Below are 19,340 nucleotides of genomic sequence, written 5' to 3'. Positions count from 1 at the left end.
TATGAACCTTACTTTTGAGGCGAGGAGGCCGAGCAAAGGTCTGTTTCTGATCCCAGTCCAGCACTGAGACCCCCTCTGGGAGCCTTTCTTGCCAAGTCAGCTTGTCATTCAGGTCCTGGTGTGCAGCCGCTAACTGCTCTGGCCCCGGGGCCAGCTCTCCAGCTGAATCTGTGTCCAGGAATGGAACCAAAGTCTCGGTCAAAGTCTCAGTCGATTCCTGAGGCGGAGCTGACATCTGGGAGGAAGCAGAGGACCCCAGGTAATCAAAGTCCCCGGGGTCTGCCGGTGGGGGCGGGGGTCGGGGGTAAGCGCAAAGGGAGATTCGGGTGGGAGACTGGGGGAGCAGGAAAACCAGGGCTCAGTCGGCCCCAGAGGGTCGGAAGTCGGCTGGAGCCGGTCCTGGACCCACTCCAGAGGCTGAGCCTCCTGGACTAGTAGCCACAGTAGTTGCCAACCTGAGGAGGTGCCGTGGGACCCAGAGGCGCAGCTGGGACATGACAGGCGCTGGCGCCGCGCCCTGAGCCGGAGCCATTCTGGCAGCCCCGAGACGCTTGCGCCCCTGACAACCGCGCGCCCCGCCCCGTCCTTTATGACACCTGTATTTACACCGCCTTTATTAGGCTCGGGTCCAGATCCGCTCCGCGATCTTATCCCACAATCCCATCCAAACCCCACTTCCTGTCCCACCCCACCTCCGAACACCCCTCCCCTCCCCTTAGCGAGGAAAGATTTGGGATCCTGTTTGAAGGGAATTCTAAAAGGTCTGTGTTCAAGCAGCCCAGCACCCTTTACTCCTGGGTGGTGGGGGGAGACTAACCCCTTTCCTGTGTCCACAACTGTAGTAATACTCTAACCGTCCTCAGTTCTGCTCTCCAAACTTCAAATAAGGGGTCAGAGACATGGGTCAAGACTTCAGGAAAAGCCCCAGAAATACCCTGCACTCAAAAGCAGTTTCAGAGTTTCACATTTTCCTGAGAATGAAACAAATTATCCTCCAAATTCTGCTGCTTGTTTTGAATTATGTTTACGCTGGTTATGTTACCAGTGAGTTTTTATCTCCACATACTTGAATTAAACCGTGTAGTTCTTCTTTACATCTGACACCTACAATCTCTTCACTGGGTCTGTACTTCACAGCTATTTTACCACTTTCTGAAATAAAGTTAGCAAGGATCAATTCAGAATCTTTTTCGTTCTAAAACTTCCTGCACAGGCCGGGCGCGGTGGCTCATGCCTATAATCCCAGCACTTTGGGTGGCCGAGGCAGGCAGATCACCTGAGGTCGGGAGTTCGAGACTAGCCTGACCAACATGGAGAAACCCCGTCTCTACTAAAAATGCAAAAAATTAGCCGGGTGTGGTGGTGTGTGCCTGTAATTCCAGCTACTGGGGAGGCTGAGGTAGGAGAATCGCTTGATCCTGGGAGGCTGAGGTTGCAGTGAGCCGAGATCGCACCATTGCACTCCAGCCTGGGCAACAAGAGTGAAACTCCATCTAAAAAAAAAAAATCCTGCGTATAATGGTAGTACCCCATGATGAGACATTCTTTTTTTTTTTTTTTTTTGAGACAGAGTCTCGCTCTGTCACCCAAGGCTGGAGTGCAGTGGCGCGGGCTAGGCTCACTGCAACCTTCTAATGTGAAGTGTCTACTAGCCCAGTGGTCTCTATTCCATCTTTGAACTTACTTTGATTCCCACCTGATGCCTTACCATTTCATCTTTTGGTTTCTAAAAGCAGAAAATAAGAGCATTTTTCTGAAAGTTTCCTCATCTCCTCATCTCACACTTGTTTTCCTTCCTTCCTTCCTTCCTTCCTTCCTTCCTTCCTTCCTTCCTTCCCTTCCTTCCTTCCTTCTTTTTATAGGGGCTCACTCTGTTACCCAGGCTAGAGTTCAGTGGCACTATCATAGCTCACTGCTGCCTGGAATTCCTGGGCTCAAGTGATCCTCCTGCCTGAGCCTCCAGAGTAGCTGGGACTACAGGTACACACCACTGTGCCTGGGTAATTTTTTTTTTTTAAGACATGGTCTCGCTTTGTTGCCCAGGCTGGTCTCAAACTCCTGGCTTCAAGTGATCCTCCTGCCTTGGCCTCCCAAAGTGCTGAGATTACAGGTGTGAGTCCCCATGTCCGGGCTCACACCTCAGTTTTTTTGTTTTGTTTTGTTTTGTTTTTTGTTTGTTTGTTTTGAGACGGAGTCTCACTCTGTCACCCGGGCTGGGGCTGGAGTGCAGTGGCGCGATCTCGGCTCACTGCAAGCTCTGCCTCCTGGGTTCACGCCATTCTCCTGCCTGCCTCAGCTGGGACTACAGGTGCCTGCCACCACGCCTGGCTAATTTTTTGTATTTTTAGTAGAGATGGGGTTTCACAGTGTTAGCTAGGATGGTCTCGATCTCCTGACCTCATGATCCACCTGCCTCGGCCTCCCAAAGTGCTTGGATTACAGGCGTGAGCCACCACACCCAGCCCTCAGTTTTTAACATATGTATAAAATATTAACTGTGTTTGGTTCAAAGGACTTTATGATCTTACAGATAGGAACTAAGGAATAATAACATAAGAAATACAAAACTGTGGAAACGAAAATGTTCAATCATAATATGATTAAATGGTGGCCAGGCGTGGTGGTTCACGCCTGTAATCCTAGCACTTTTCGAGGCCGAGGCAGGCGGATCACCTGAGGTCAGGAGTTCAAGACCAGCCTGGTCAACGTGGTGAAACCTTATCTCTCCTAATAATACAAAAATTTGCCAGGCGTGGTGGCCCACGCCTATAATCCCAGCTACTCGGGAGGCTGAAGCATGAGAATTGCTTGAACCCGGGAGGCGGAGGTCTCAGTGAGTCAAGATCGCGCCACTGCACTCCAGCCCGAGTGACAGAGTGAAACTGTATCTCAAAAATAATAATAATGATATGATTAAATTCTAAGACATAATAAGGCGGGGGTCAAAGTAAGTTCAAATCTGGAATAGAGACCACTGGGCTGGTAGACACTTCACATTAGAAGCAAGGGCCAGGTGTCTACTCCCTGAGAACCAAAATTCCACCAGATACAATGAACAAAGTTTCAGAGAGAGAGAACATTTGAACATTTTATTGCAGAAACTGGCACACATACTCTATAGACAATACAACTTCCTTCCAGGCAAACTAGAGCCATAAGGCTTTTGGTCTAAGAGGTTTTGAAGGTGTGCAAGGGATACCTTCGAGTATGAGGGAGAGGTAAACAACCCACACATTCAGTTTGGTTCTTAAAGGTTGTTACTCAGACTTGACAGTTGATGACCAAGGAAGTAATACTTTCACTAGCAGGGCTGCCCAGGTTGGAAAGCTGAGAGCAATCAGGGCCGTCTCTTACAAGCAAATAAAGGTCTGTGGTAACTTAATTAGGATCTCTCAGTCTCTAAGCCTTCAGCACTGTGAAGCAGGAGCAACTCTGTTCAGGGACTCTTTGTTAATCATCAGGTTTCCTTTAGGCACAGCCTATAACATTTGTGCCACTGTAGAAGTGAATGGGGAATACAAACAATGCCATTCAATAGCATGACCACTTCCAAGGTTCACAGCAAAGCCGCTGATTATTGTATAAGAATCATACTTACGGCCTGCGCGGCAGCTCACGCCTGTAATACCAGCACTTTGGGAGGCTGAGGCGGCAGGATCACCTGAGGTCAGGAGTTCGAGACCAGCCTGACCAACATGGTGAAACCCCGTCTCTACTAAAAATACCAAAAATTAGCCAGGTGTGGTGGTGCATGCCTGTAATCCCAGATGCTCAGGAGGCTGAGACAGGAGAATCGCTGTAACCCGGGAGGCAAAGGTTGCAGTGAGCCAAGATCACACCACTGCACTCCCGCCTGAGCAAGAAGAGTGAAACTCCATCTCAAAAAAAAAAAAAAAGAAAAGAAAAGAAAGAAAAGGAAAGAAAAAGAGAAAAAGGTTTGGTTGGCTGGACATGGTGGCCCATGCCTGTAATCCCAGCACTTTGGGAGGCTGAGGCAGGTGGAGGCCAGGAGTTCAAGAACAGCCTGGCCAACATGGTGAAACCCCATCTCTACTAAAAATAGCCGGGTGTGGTGGCACAAATAGTGGAGAAAATTATGGATACCACCCTCCAAGTGATTGAGATTATTAATTCTAGGTAGCAGGCCAATTCAGACATATCCACTTATCCTCAATGGCAGGAGGCCTCTCATATCTCCTCACTACAACCCAGTTCAATATTTCTGTCTAAAGTCTAGGATTTCAATGTTGAAAGGAGAATAGGGTTGGTGAAAGAAAATCTACAAGGTTTGCCCTGATGATCCCTTTTGACCATCCATTGAAACCAAAGTAGCAATTTGTCAGTTCTTGGCATCGGGAACTGTTTAGGGCAATGGCCTGACATTGAACTGCCTTATGTCTGGTGCCGAGACGAAACTACAGTCACAAGAGATAGACCCATAAATATCACAACCTGCCAGAGATTTTATTTTGCATACACCTGACATTTATCAATACCAAGTGTGCAAAGAAAAGAAATTGTTTCAGTCTTCCCATTCAGTAGCTCCTGCTTGAGTATGTGACCTGAAGAACAGGTAAAAAGAACCCAACACCCATCCCCCTCCCCAAGTGACTAACCCGTGTTAAATGAAGAAATACACGTACCTCTATGAATTTTACAAGCAACTAAAACAACTAGAGGTTCATCTGCATTTATAAGCTTATTTGGGAATGCAAGTATCTACTGAGTGTTAATTCTTGAAATAATTTACACATTCCTGTGGATTTCTTACATCATCAATTCTTTTTGTTTTGTTTTGTTTTTTGAGACAGAGTCTCGCTCTGTCACCAGGCTGGAGTGCAGTGGCGCCATCCTGGCTCACTGCAACCTCCACGTCCCGGGATCAAGCGATTCTCCTGCCTCAGCCTCCCAAGTAGCTGCAACTATAGGTGTGCAAATCAATAAAGAATTAACTTTACTGTTAATTCTTATTAATTTCTAATACAAATAGATTTGACTTCATTTGTATCATTTGAATTTCATGAATATAATCATATACTACACTTAAAAAATAGACATATAAGAAAGAATTGGTGATGTAAGGCTGGGCACGGTGGCTCACACCTGTAATCCCAGCACTTTGGGAGGCCGAGGCGGGCGGATCACGAGGTCAAGAGATCGAGACTATCCTGGCTAACACGGTGAAACCCCGTCTCTACTAAAAATACAAAAAAAAAAAAATTAGCCGGGTGTGGTGGCGGGCACCTGTAGTCCCAGCTACTCAGGAGGCTGAGGCGGGAGAATGGCGTGAACCCAGAAGGCGAAGCTTGCAGTGAGCCAAGATTGCGCCACTGCACTCCAGCCTGGGCAACAGAGCGAGACTCTATAAAAAAAAAAATTAAATTACTTTCTCCAACTGAAGAGAAGGAGAAATGCATGTTGGGAAGGAGAAATGAAGACTAATTTTCGAATGTTGAGTGCTACCGGGAAGACTGGCCGGTATCATGAGTCACGGTGGAGTCTTTCTGGACAACCAGGATGCTTCAGAAGGACTCGGAGCTGCTGGGTGGTACAGACATTTGTCACCTTGGATAACCTTGCCACAGTTCTTGCTGGCAACAATTTCCCTTCATTTCACTGAAAAAAAAAAAAACAAAAACAAAAACAAAACCCTCTCAGGTGCCTTAGGCCTTTCCTTGATTTTATTTTAAAACATTATTCTCTTTTCTGTATTTATAAAAGGCAAAAAACACAGAAACTAGGTGTATGTGCTAAAGTAGAAAAGAACACTTAAACTAGATAACAGTGGGGGTCGAGTAGTAACCCCAGGCTCTAAGTTCAGTAAATAAATAAATCTAATATGAATTACATTTCTCCTCTCACCTGTCTGTTGAGTTGTAGAACATTTCCTTCATTGCTGCATCAGTGATGGGCTTTATGCTGTGAAATTCTCAAAACCTAAATCTTATGAAATGGTCTCAATGTCCAAAGAGCACTAAAAACTCATTACTTACAAAATGATACCAAGTAACTGTTTCATTTTTTTTTTTTTGAGATGGAATCTCGCTCTGTTGCCCAGGCTGGAGTACAGTGGCACGATCTTAGCTCACTGCAACCTCTGCCTCCCAGGTTCAAGTAATTCTCCTGCCTTAGCCTCCTGAGTAGCTGGGATTACAGCACGCACCACCACGCCTGGCTAATTTTTGTATTTTTAGTAGAGACGAGGTTTCACCATGTTGCTCAGGCTGGTCTCGAACTCCTGACCTCATGATCCACCCACCTCGGCCTCCCAAAGTGCTGGGAATACAGGCATGAGCCACTGCACCCAACCCGTTTCATAATCTTTACCGTACCTTTATATTTGAATGGCTATGTGAAATGGTCACAGGTTAGAAACATCATAGTCCAAAAGTTAAATAATACCTCGCAGGTAATTGTTTCAGTTACAGGAAGTGGAACCAGGACTGAAGAGGATTTTTATGGGTTCAGAATGGGAGAGTGTGTGCTGACTGGTTTGTGAGTATGCCAAAAAGGCTGAAAAAAAAAGGCACCACTTAAAGATGGGCACAGCGTAAAAAAACAGGGAAGAGTAGGCATATGTAAAATAGGTTAAAGGCAGGGATCGATCAGAGGAAAGCGTGCCAAACAGAAAGAGAGGTTCTCAATCTGTCCACGGATTTATCCAAGACTTGTAGCTTGGCTTTCAGCCTTTAAACTGTCTGGTTTGGAGGTCAGCTTTCATTGGGGACCCACCCCTGTCTGCCTAGGATCTGTCTGCCTCCTGCCGCTATCAATACCTTAACTTTAAAATATTGCCTAAAAAATGCTGACAATCATCTGAGCCTCTGGCAAGTCATGATCTTTTTGCTGGTGGAGGGTCTTGCCTCAATGTCATGCCTGCTGACTGATTAGGGTAGTGGTTGCTGAAGGGTTGGGTGGTCATAACAATTTCTTACAATAAGACAACAGTTATGTTTGTCACATTGATTGACTCTTCCTTTCACAAAAGATTTCTCTGTACCATGCACTGCTGTTTGATAGCATTTTACCCCCAGTAAAACTTCTTTCAAAATTGGAGTTGATCCTCTCAAACTCTGCTGCTGCTTATTAACTAAGCTTATGGAATATTGTAAATTCTTTGTTGCCATTTCAACAATGTTCATAGTATCTTCACCAGGAGTAGATTCCATCTCAAGAAACCACTTTCCTTGCTCATCCATAAGAAGCAACTCCTGGCCTGACGCGGTGGCTCACGCCTGTAATCCCAACACTTTGGGAGGCTGAGGCAGGCAGATCACCTGAGGTCAGAAGTTCGAGACCAGCCTGGCCAACATGGTGAAACCCCATCTCTACTAAAAATACAAAAATTAGCTGAGCATGGTGGCAAGTGCCTGTAATCCCAGCTAATCGGGAGGCTGAGGCAGGAGAACCGCTTGAACCCGGGAGGCAGAAGTTGCAGTGAGCCGAGATCACACCACTGCACTCCAGCCTGGGGCACAAGAGCCAGACTTCATCTCAAAAAAAAAAAAAAAAAAAAGGAGCAACTCCTCATCCATTCAAGTGTTATCATGAGATGGCAGCAATTCAGTTTCATCTTCAGGCTCCACTTCTAATTCTGGTTATCTTGCTATTTCCACAACATCTGCAGTTACTCTCCACTGAAGTCTGAACTCCTCAAAGTCATCCATAAGCATTGGAATCAACTTCTTCTAAATTGTTGTTGTTGTTTTTGAGATGGAGTCTTGCTCTGTCACCGAGGCTGGAGTGCAATGGCGTGATCTCAGCTCACTGCAACCTCTGCCTCCTGGGTTCAAGCAATTCTCCTGCCACGGCCTCCCAAGTAGTTGGGATTACAGGCACTCACCACCACGCCCAGCTAATTTTTGTATTTTTAGTAGAGACGGGGTTTCACCATGTTAGCCAGGATGGTCTTGATTTCCTGACCTCGTGATCTGCCTGCCTCGGCCTCCCAAAGTGCTGGGATTACAGGCGTGAGCCACCGCGCCCACCCAAGAGGAAGCACCATCTATGTCAGCAATAGCCTTACAGAATGAACTTCTGAAATAATAAGATTTGAAAGTGGAAATTACACCTTGATCCATGGGCTGTAGAACAGATGTTGTGTTAGCAGGCATGAAAACAACATTGATCTCCTTGTACATTTCCGTCAGAGCTCTTGGATGACCAAGTGCATTGTCAATGAGCAGTAATATTTTTTAAAGAATCTTTTTTTCTAAGCAGTAGGTCTCAACAGTAAACTTAAAATATTTGCTAAGCCATGCTATAAATATGTGCTGACATCCAGGCTTTGTTGTTCCATTTATAGAACACAGGCAGAGTAAATTTAGCATGATTATTAAGGGCCCTAGGATTTCTAGAAAGGTAAAAGACTATAAAGTCACCAGCTGCATTTGCCCCTATCAAGAGGGTCAGCCTATCCCTTGAAGCCAGGCATTGACTTCTCTCTAGTTATGAAAGTCCTAGCTGGCATCTTCTTCCAATAGAAGGTTGTTTCATCCACATTGAAAATCTGTTGTTGAGCGTAGCCACCTTCATCAGTGATCTGAGCTAGATCTCTCGACAACTTGCTGCAGCTTCTCCATCAGCACTTGCTGCTTCACCTTACACCTTTATGTTACAGAGACAGCTTCATTCCTTCAGCCAACCTCTGCGAGCTTCAAACTTTTCTTCTGAAGCTTCATCACCCCTCTCAGCCTTCATAGAATTCAAGAGAGTTGTGACCTTGCTCTGGATTAACTCTTCATCCAAATTAACTCTTCATCCTCAGCACCCAAATATATGACTCATAGGCAGTTCCACTGCATAAACAAACAACACAAAATGAGGAAATGGGGAGCAAAGTGCCAGACACTGCAAGTGTTTCTGGAATAAATTCCTTCCTGGCCTGGTCTTTGCAATCCAGATTGTCAGTTTCTGGGGAAAATAACTTTCTGTCATATAAACATCGGAGGAGCAAGGAGCGTAGGAGGCCTGGGACCATGGCTCAGGGTGGATTAGAATCAAGCACCAAAAAGCTTAAAGGAATTTCCGCTTTCCTTTGTTTATGGTGATTTACCAAAAGGCCTTTTGAGGAAGTAGTTCTGCCTTTGAGACCTTAGAGAAGCAGACAAGCTCCTGCAGGTTTCCTTCAAGCTTTCTCTCAGTTCTCCTCCTTGGGTCTGATTATTAAAAGACATAACCACCTCTGTGGTTTCTGTTACTTCCATCTTGGTTTCTTCTTTTCAAGCAACTGTGTGGATTTGACACCCAGCAATTACAAGAACCTGGATGAATGCAGGTCTCTTGCACCAGTTGTATTTCCTGCACTCTAGTAAAACAAAGCTCCTCGTCAGTCTGGCATAGCTGATACTCCCACTCCCGCCTCCACCCCTGCTCATCATAAAAGGATCCCTTGGATAGGACTTTACAGCTTTCAAGGCACTTTCACACGTTCAAGTCTTAAAGGCAGGGCAAGCAGAGCGCATGCAGAGATGGGGCCGTCCCGGCACCCGCTGCGGTCTCTCCCCCTGCCCAAGCCCAAGCATGATGCTGAGCTCAGTGCAAGTTTAATGATACTTTAGATTGATGGATCCCCTTAGTTTTCTAAACACTTTCTCAGAATATCTCATCTGATCATCATATTAAAATACAAAAAATTAGGCTGGCCGTGGTAGCTCACGCCTGAAATCCCAGCACTTTGGGAGGCTGAGGTGGGTGTATCACCTGAGGTCAGGAGTTCGAGAGCAGTCTGGCCAACATGGTGAAACCCCGTCTCTAGTAAAAATTAAAAAAAATTTAGCCGGGTGTGTTGGTGGGTGCCTGTAATCCCAGCTACTCGGGAGGCTGAGGCAGGAGAATCGCTTGAACCCTGGAGGCAGAGGTTGCAGTGAGCCGAGATCACGCCATTGCACTCCAGCTTGGGCAACAAGAGTGAAATTCCGTCTCGGAAAAAAAATAATAATAATAAATACAAAAAATGAGCTGGGCATGGTGGTACAAAAGTAATGCAGTTTTGCTATTGCTTTTAATGGCAAAAACCACAATTACTTTTGCACCATCCTACTAGTTCTTTGAGGTTGGCAAGGGGGGAATTCGCATCCCATTTCAGGGATGAAGGAAACTGAATCTCAGAGCCCTGAATGATTTTCCAAGGCCCCCCTGCAATGTAACCCTTCTGAGAAGATCTCATCAGAACTTCAACTCTGCCCACCACCAATAAGAGAACAATAAGAGCTAACATTTACTGAATGGCTCGCCTGGTGCAGGCGGTGCTTAGCGCCTCATATGTGCTCCACATCAGCAGGTAGAAAGGAAGTGGTTATCTTTAACCATTGTTGGATTCCCAAGGATGTCAGTCCAAACACGCTTCTTGGGCACTTATCCTGGGCCCAGGAAAGCAGTTCTGAAAATACAGAAAACAAGAACTAGTCGCACTTACAGTGCTTACTGTGGAGTCAGTGAGGCAAGATGAAATCACAAGAGGCTGGCGCAGTGGCTCACGCCTGTAATCCCAGCCCTTTGGGAGACCGAGGTGGGTGGATCACCTGAGGTCAGGAGTTCAAGACCAGCCGGACCAACATGGTGAAACCCCATCTCTACTAAAAATACAAAAATTAGCTAGGCATGGTTGTGGGCCCCTGTAATCCCAGCTACTTGGGAGGCTGAGGCACAAGAATCACTTGAACCCAGGCAGCAGAGGTTGCAGTGAGCCGAGATCACACCAGTGCACTCCAGCCTGGGCAACAGAGTGACACTCTGTCTCAAATAAAAAAAAAAAGAAAAGAAAAGAAAAAAAGAAATCACATGAAAGCAATGAGCCACGTGAACCTAATCCATGGGTAAGCAGGATGTGGTGTCATGATGTAGATTAGGTAATATCCACGGTTCCCAGCTCAAACTCTCTCTAACCATGTTTTTCCTCTACTCTCACACCACAACAATCAACACAGAAGGCTTCTGTGACCATGTGTGTGGAGGTTTGCCTCCACACACCAAGGACTGGACACCAGCTGGGTGTCCTCTAATTCTGTTCTGACACTATCTACATGGAGATAGTGTCAGATCCCACAGGCTGGGGGCTCAGTGTCCAAGACTGCCCCACTCCCACACCAGTCGCAAGTCCAGGCCTCCAGAACTTCTGGCCAACAGGCTTCAAGTTAGGCTTCCCATGACCCCTCTTTGGGTTCAATTAATTTGCTGAATCAGTTCACAGAACTCAGGGAGACACTTACATGTACTGGTTTATTAGAAGGATATTACAAAGGATACAGATGAAGATGATACAGAAGGGCTGGGCTCCCAACTAAACCCCACCCTTAAGCCTGGAACCATGGCCCTAGGTGAAAACAGCTGAACCCATTCTTCCACCCAAACGTTGCCTTTTTTGGCCTGCCCCGCCCCTATCCTGTTCCCATAAAAGACTTCAGCTGGCACAGCAACACAAGTGGCTGAGGGTCAGGATACAAGCATGTGAGCTGTGACCAGAGAAGCAACTGAGCATCGGAGACTACGGATAGATGCAGCTAACTTCAGATGGTGCAGCTTCTGAGAGGGGCCCAGCTGGAGACGGCCAGGCTTCAGGGAAAGATCACCTTCCCATCCCTTTTCCAGCCTCCCTTTCCACTGAGAGTCACTCACCACTCAATAAAGTCTTCCGCATTCATCACTTCTTTTTTTTTGAGACGGAGTCTCACTCTGTCTCTCAGGCTGGAGTGCAATGGCACGACATCGGCTCACTGCAACCTCCGCGTCCCGGGTTCAAGTGATTCTTGTGCCTCAGCCTCCAGAGTAGCTAGGACTACAGGCACGCGCCACCACACCTGGCTAATTTTTGTATTTTTAGTAGAGGCGAGGTTTCACCATGTTGGCCAGGCTGGTCTCAAACTCCTAACCTCAAGCGATCTGCCCACCTCAGCCTCCCAAAGTGCTAGGATTACAGGCGTGAGCCACTGCGCCCGGCCATTCATCACATTTCAAACAGTTCATGTGAGCTTATTCTTCCTGGATGCTGGACAAGAATCTGGGTGCCGAGAGGGCAGGGGCTCCCACTCTGACCCTCCACTGAGCTAGTTGGCACTCGACCAGCCCTGGACAGCAGAACTGAAAGAGCATTGGTTGTAACATGCTTGGACGCTGTGCGGGGCCCACACAGAACCTGATGCAGCCAGAGAGGAGCGAATGGCCGGTTCCAGCATTTGTCCCCTCGGGTTCCCACACTTATTCACTCACACTTTCCCTCCCATGAGGAGTGGTCAGTGACAGGCTGAGTGCAACAAGCCACTCCAGTTCCCACTCGCGAAGGGGGTTGAGGGAAGTATCCCATCTAAGAGACATGTAGGGTGAGGTGTGGGGGAAGGGGTACGGAGCTTCCACGCGCCCCCTGGGCCCATCACCCTCCAGGAAGCTCCAGTGTTCAGCTATCCAGAAGCTCACTGGGCCCTGTCCTCTTGGGGCTTGTTTTGTTTTGTTTTTGAGACAAGGTCTTGCTCTGTCACCCAGGCTTCAGTGTAGTGACGCAATCTCGGCTCACTGCAACTTCCACCTCCCAGGCTCAAGCAATCCTCCCACCTCAGCCTCCTGAGTGGCTGGGACTACAGGAGTGCACCACCAGGCCCAGTTACTTTTTTGTATTTTTAGTAGAAATGGAATTTTGCCACTTTGCCCAGGCTGGTCCCAAACTCCTGGCCTCAAGCAGTCCTCCTGCCTTGGCCTCCCAAAATGCTGAGATTAGAGGCGTGAGCCACCAAGCCTGGCCTCTTGGGTTTTTATGGAAGCTTCACGATGTCAGCATTCCTTCCCCCAGGGTGTGGTCTTCAGACTCATAGTCATGAAATCAGGGGAACATTCAGGTGAAAGGAGGGCAGGAGAAGGTCAGAGGCCTGCCCCTGAGGCCTAACATACCCAATGTTCTAACAAGACTGTAAGAAGGGCTCTGGGAGTTATCAGCCAGGAACAGCCCAACGAGTTCACCTTGCCTGCTGCCTAGACCGAGCCCGTTAGTCAAGACGGGAACTGCAATAGAGACAGTAATTCACACAGAGCCAGCTGTGTGGGAGACCAGAGTTTTATTATTTCTCAAATCAGTCTCCCTGAGCATTCAGGGATCAGAGTTTTCAAGGATAATTTGGTGGGTGGAGGGGCCAGTGAGTCGGAAGTGCTGACTCATTGGGTCGAAGATGAAATCATAGGGAGTTAAAGCTGTCCTCTTCCAGAGTCAGTTCCTGAGTGGGTCCACAAGATCACATGAGCCAGTTTATTGATCTGGGTGATGCCAGCTGATCCATCAAGTGCAGAATCTGTAAAATATCTGATCTTACTTCTTACAATAGTGATGTTGTCCCCAGGAGCAATTTGGGGAGGGTTAGAATCTTGTAGCCTCCAGCTGCCTGGCTCCTAAACCATAATTTCTAATCTTTCGGCTAATTTGTTAGTCCTACAAAGGCAGTCTGGTCCCCAGGCAAGAAGGGGGTTTGTTTAGGGGAATGAGCTGTTATCATCTTTGTTTCAAAGTAAAACTATAAATTTAAGCTCCTCCCAAATTTAGTTTGGCCTACTCCTAGGAATGAACAAAGACAGCTTGGAGGTTAGAAGCAAGATGGAGTTGGTTAGGTCAGATTGCTTTCACTGTCTCAGTTATAATTTTGCAATGGCAGTTTCAGAACCATAGATGAAAACCAATATATATCATAACACCACACAGACTACACTGTCAGAGTTACAGTAAATCAAAGGAGAGCGAAGATAGAAGATTTAGTGCTGCACTGTTCAATATGGCAGCTGCTAGCTATATGTGACCATTGAGCACCTAACACATGGCCAGTCTAAACTGAGATGTGCTGTAAGTGCAAAAAACACAACAGAGTTTTAAAACTTGGCACAAAAATAAGATTATAAACATATCTCGTTAATAATTTTTATATTGATTACATGTTTTGAGGACGTTGGGTTAAGTAAATTATTAAAATTAATTTGGTGGGGCACAGTGGCTCACACCTGTGATCCCAGCACTTTGGGAGGCTGAGGCAGGTGGATCACCTGAGGTCAGGAGTTCAAGACCAGCCTGGCCAACATGGTGAAACTCCGTATCTACTAAAAATACAAGAAATTAGCCAGTTGGGGTGGCTCATGCCTGTAGTCCCAGCTACTCAGAAGGCTCAGGCAGGAGAATCGCTTGAACCCGGGAGGTGGAGGTTGCAGTAAGTCGAGATTGCACCACTGCACTCTAGCCTGGGTGACAGAGCGAGACTCTGCCTCAAAAAATAATAATAATAATTTCACTTGTTTATTGTTTGTTACTGTTTTAGTGTGGCTACAAGAAAATTTTTAATTACATCTGAGACTTACCTCATACTTCTAGGAGTCAGGGCTGTTTTCAAATAATGATCAATGACCTTTTTTTTTTTTTTTTTTTTGAGACAGGGTCTCACTCTGTCACCCAGGCTGGAATACAGTGGTGCGATCTTGGCTCACGGCAACCTCCACCTTCCAGGTTCAAGCAATTCTCCTGCCTCAGCCTCCCGAGTAGCTGAGATTACAGGCACGTACCACCAGGCCTGGCTAATTTTTGTATTTTGTAGTAGAGGTGAGGTTTCACCATGCTGACCAGGCTGATCTTGAATTCCTAACCTCAACTGATCTGCCCGCCTCGGCCTCCCAAAGTTCTGGGATTACAGGCATGAGCCCCCGCACCCGGCCTATCAACATGTTTTAGATGCTTAACTAAACGCTAAGCGTGTTATGTGTGTTTCATTATTTAATATTTATGTAATCTTCACAATTTCATTATTATTTCATTTTACAGGTGAGGAAGCCATGGTTTAAAGCAGAGATCACCAACTGCTGGACCACAGACCTGCACGAGTTCACGGCCTGTTAGGAACCGAGCCACACAGCAGGAGGTGAGTGGCAGCCAAGGGAGCATTACTGCCTGAGCTCCGCCTCCTGTCAGATCAGTGGCAGCATTGGATTCTCATAGGAGCACAAACCCTATTGTGAACTGTGCATGCCAGGGATCCAGGTTGCACACTCCTTATGAGAATCTAATGCCTGATGATCTAAGGTGGAACAGTTTCATCCCAAAGCCATACACGGCAATCCAGTTCTTGGAAGAACTGTCTTCCACAAAATCAGTTCCTGGTGCTAAAAAGGTTGGGGACCACTGGTTTAAAGGACTTAGGCACATAGCTATTAAAAAGGATAAGTGAAATAAGCCAGGAAAGACAAACTTTACATGTTCCCACTTATTTGTGGGATCTAAAAATTTTAAAACAATTGAACTCATGGAGATAAAAAGTAGCCTGAGGGTTACCAGAGGCTGGGAAGGGCAGTCAGGGGTGGGTGGGAAGTGAGGATGAAGCAGGAAATGTCCCCAACCCCTTCACCGGTGGGAACCGGAGTGCATGGGCACTAGAACTAGCCGGCCGCTAGGGTGCCGGTGCTGGCAAGGACAGACTCCACTCACTCAGTCCTGCTTTGTCCCCCGCCTTGCAGGAGGGGAAGCACAGGTGAGTGAGTGCAGCAGTCGGGGCGAGCGCTTTTGGGTGCCAGGAGAAGCAAAACTCTGAGCAGTCCTGCGGTAGCCTCTAGGGAGATGCCCATGACCCCTGAAGCCCCAGAAAGAGTTACAGTCAGCGCTCTTTTAGCTTAGCCATCCACGGACAGCTTAAGTGTTAACAGCTCAGTGGGGGGTCAGTGTCTTTTGTACTCGCACCTGAGTTCTTGTCTGGCATCCAGGAGGAATGAGGTCACACAAAAGAATTGGAGATAGTAAGTTGGGGGGATTTAATTGCCAATGAAAGTGGCTCTCAGTGGGAAGGGGAGCTGAAATGGGGATGGAGTGGGAAGATAACCTTCCCCTGGAGTCCAGCCATCCCCCACTGCACTCATCTCCGAAGCAATGCTGTCAAGCTGTCCCTCTGAAGTCAAGCTACTTCTCTGTAACATCCAACTCATAGTCTCAGACATCCCGCTGCTTCTCCTTTTCTCCTCTTTTCTCCTCTTCTCTGCTGGCAGAGCCTAGGTGTTTATGGCCACAGGATAGGGGGCAGGGTGGGCCATGGGTGGTTTTATAAAGGCAACATTTGAGCAGGAAAACAGGAATGCATGTTCTCACTTTGCACTGCAGTTCCAGGCTTGAGGACGGGGCCCTCACCAGGGACCTGCCCTCTTCTGCCCAGAATTTCCCTGCCTCCTATCCTATCAGAGATAATTAATGGGTACAAAAAAATAGTTAAAGAATGAATAAGATCTTTATTTGATAGCACAACAGGATGACTTATAGTCAATAATAATTTAACTGTACATTTTAAAATAATTAAAGAAGGCTGGGCATGGTGGCTCACGCCTGTAATCCCAGCACTTTGGGAGGCCAAGGCAGGAGGATTGCTTGAACGTGGGAGTTCAAGACCAGCCTGGGCGTCATGGTGAAACCTCAACTGTACAAAAAATACAAAAATTAGCCAGACATGGTGACAGGCGCCTGTGGTCCTAGATACTCTGGAGGCTGAGGTAAGAGGATTGCTTGAGCAAGGTCAAGGCTGCAGAGATCTGTGATCACATCGCTGCCCTCTAGCCTGGGTGACAGAGAAAGATCCTGTCTCAAAAAAAAAAAAATAAAATAACTAAAAGAGTGTATCTGGGTTATTTGTAACACAAAGAATAAATGCTTGAGGTGATGGATACCCCACTTACCCTAATGTGATTATTACACATTATATACCTGTATCAAAATATCTCATGTACCCGATATATACACCTACTGTATATATGTACCCAGAAAATTACCCACAAAATTTAAAAATGTACCCACAAAAATTAAAAATTAAAAAAGATACATTAAAACTGTACATATTAGGATAGAAAGTGTCCATAATAATTTTTTTTTTTTTGAGATGGAGTCTCACTCTTTCGCCCAGGCTGGAGTGCAGTGGCGCTATCTCGGCTTACTGCAAACTCCGCCTCCCAGGTTCATGCCATTCTCCTGCCTCAGCCTCCCAAGTAGCTGGGACTACAGACGCCCGCCACCACGCCCAGCTAATTTTTTTGTATTTTTAGTAGAGACAGGGTTTCACCGTGTTAACCAGGATGGTCTCGGTCTCCTGACCTTGTGATCCACCTGCCTTGGCCTCCCAAAGTGCTGGTATTACAGGTGCGAGCCACTGCACCTGGCCAATAAATTTTTTTTTTATAATTATCACCCATTATCAGAAAAATAAAATATACCTATATAATTTCATAAAGAAATTAAGTGTCTTGCCCAAGGCCATCTAGCCAGCTAGCTGTACAGCCAGGACTTGAACCCTGGGCCTATGGTGACTCCAAGTTCACCCTTTACACCATGAGAACCAATAAAGGTAAAGAGACTTTGGAGGACATAAGAGGCAAACTCTCATTCATGTCAGGTCTTCTTTTTGCAATATCCTTGGAAGGTGGCCAGCCAGCATCTGCTTGAATACTTCCAACAACAGGGAGCTCATTACCTTCCTGGCAGCATGCTCCACTGTTGGCAGCTGGTTATTAGAATTTTCCTCCATCAAATGAGGAGAAATCTGTGCATCCTAATATCTGATCTTGAGTTCTGGATCCTCACAGAGGAGGTGACCCCCTTCAGCCAGACCAAAACTGGGCTGGCTTGCACTGGTCCCTAAGGAGAGACTTCAGGAGTGGGTCCAGTGGGTTCCACACTGCTTCATGGGGAAGGGAACACGAATCCATCCTATATCTCACTCCTCGCACCTCCACTGACCAGCACTTCCTGCAGACTTGCCCAGGTAAAGCTTGTCTGCTGTATGTGCACTGCTTCCATGATGGGGCTTTGGGGCCTCAGCTGCAGAAATGCCTGAATTTCCATTCATGGTAGGGCCTCCCACCCTTGAAAGAATAATTATCTGCCTGCTGAGCTGATAGGTTCCCATCTGGTGAGGGCTGAATGCCGTAGTTTTAGAAAAGACACCAGAAAAGGCAAGCTCCTGAACTGGCTTTGACAGATTCCCCCAGCTACTCTAAGGGAAAAAAAAAAAATGACTGAGGTGGGTGTCGGGTAGAGGGTTGGGGAGAAGGCCTAGAAAGGAAAAGAAAATGAATATGGGATGCTAATGAATTCCTGTGATCTCACTGTCTCCTATTCCAGCACATGCTCCTCTGCAGAAAGTGATGGGGCTGCCTTGCCAGCTGGAGCCTGAAACTGTGCCCAGGTAGACAGAACTGCGAGTCCCAGGACAGCCTGGGAAGTGTTGGCTGCCTGGTAATGGAAGAATGTCCAGGATGGAAAACAAGAGGCTGGATCTGCAAATGACATTGTATTTCAGGGGTCTGCTTTCCTGGTCTGCCCCTCCCCACCTCTGTAGCTCCCTCACAGTGACAGCAGAGCTGTGAACCCAGGAACAAACCCCACCATTGCCCCTGTCCTCTCTCATCTCTACTTTCCACATTGAAAAATAATAAAAGAGGCCAGGCATGGTGGCTCAAAACAGCTATAATACCAGCACTAGGATGCCAAGATGAGAGAATGGCTTGAGGCCAGGAGTTCAAGACCTGCCTGAGCAACATAGAGAGACCCACCCCCCAGTCTCTGCAAAAGCTAAAAATTAGCTGAGCATGGTGGGATGCACTTGAAGTCCCAGCTACTTGGAGGCTAAGTCAGGAGGATCACTTGAGCCCAGAAGGTTGAGGCTGTAATGAACCATGATTGTGCCACTGCATTCCAGCCTGGGTGACAGAGTGATATCCTGTCTCTAAAAAATAAATAAGGTAATAATAATAAAATAAATGCCCTCCAGGAGTTTCAGTAAAGGGTCTGAAGTATATAATTTGTACTTGTACCTCAGGCCAGCCTTCTGCCAGTAACCATGATTGCAGGCTGATCCCAAAAGTCGTTGTCTTCATCTGTTTTATGCTACTATAACTGAATACCACATGCTGGGAAATTTACTAGGAATAGATGTGTACTTAGCTCACAGTTCTGGAGGCTGGGAAGTCCAAGAGCATGACACCAGCATCTGGTGAGGTCCTTTATGCAGCTTCATCCCATAGTGAAAGGCAGAAGGGCAAGAGAGCATGAGAAGGAGCAAGCAAGAGAGGGCCAAATTCGCTTTTATAACAACCTGCCCTCTCAATAGCAAACCCACTTCTGCAATAACAACATTAACCTATTCATAAGGGTGGAGTCCTCATGACCTAATCACCTCTTAATAATCCTACTTCTTAGAACCATCACAATGGCAATTAAATTTCAACATGAGTTTTGGAGGGGACATTCAAACCATAGCTGTACAGTTTATATAGCTAGCATGGTCAGGCTCAAGTAAAGCTATCGTAGGATTATTGATTGCCAATCATGTTCCAGGCTATGCCTTAAGTGCTTT

The 19,340-nt window shown here is 46.7% G+C and overlaps 2 long non-coding RNA genes across 2 annotated transcripts, besides 2 other annotated features; both read left to right on the top strand.

The window, feature by feature from the left end:
* The first annotated feature begins 111 nt into the window (after window positions 1-111).
* On the top strand, window positions 112-18,763 carry LOC105371767 (uncharacterized). Its single transcript, NR_188621.1, has 3 exons — window positions 112-259; window positions 14,780-14,876; window positions 18,107-18,763. It is a non-coding gene; the product is annotated as an uncharacterized LOC105371767 (long non-coding RNA).
* Window positions 699-1,094, top strand: LINC02079 (long intergenic non-protein coding RNA 2079). The gene is made up of 2 exons (NR_135645.1): window positions 699-761; window positions 864-1,094. It is a non-coding gene; the product is annotated as a long intergenic non-protein coding RNA 2079 (long non-coding RNA).
* Window positions 14,960-15,497: an enhancer, noted in NCBI's record as "NANOG-H3K4me1 hESC enhancer chr17:37168565-37169102 (GRCh37/hg19 assembly coordinates)". NCBI's record gives its function as "activates a minimal SCP1, AML or CMV promoter by ChIP-STARR-seq in naive H9 embryonic stem cells {active_cell/tissue: H9 hESC(naive)}" and the evidence as "EXISTENCE:reporter gene assay evidence [ECO:0000049][PMID:30033119]".
* Window positions 15,498-16,035: an enhancer, noted in NCBI's record as "OCT4-NANOG-H3K4me1 hESC enhancer chr17:37168027-37168564 (GRCh37/hg19 assembly coordinates)". NCBI's record gives its function as "activates a minimal SCP1, AML or CMV promoter by ChIP-STARR-seq in naive H9 embryonic stem cells {active_cell/tissue: H9 hESC(naive)}" and the evidence as "EXISTENCE:reporter gene assay evidence [ECO:0000049][PMID:30033119]".
* Window positions 18,764-19,340: the final 577 nt, after the last annotated feature.

Source organism: Homo sapiens, chromosome 17, assembly GCF_000001405.40.
Source record: "Homo sapiens chromosome 17, GRCh38.p14 Primary Assembly".
In the NCBI taxonomy this organism is placed as follows: domain Eukaryota; kingdom Metazoa; phylum Chordata; class Mammalia; order Primates; family Hominidae; genus Homo; species Homo sapiens.
This window is presented reverse-complemented; position numbering and strand designations above follow the sequence as displayed.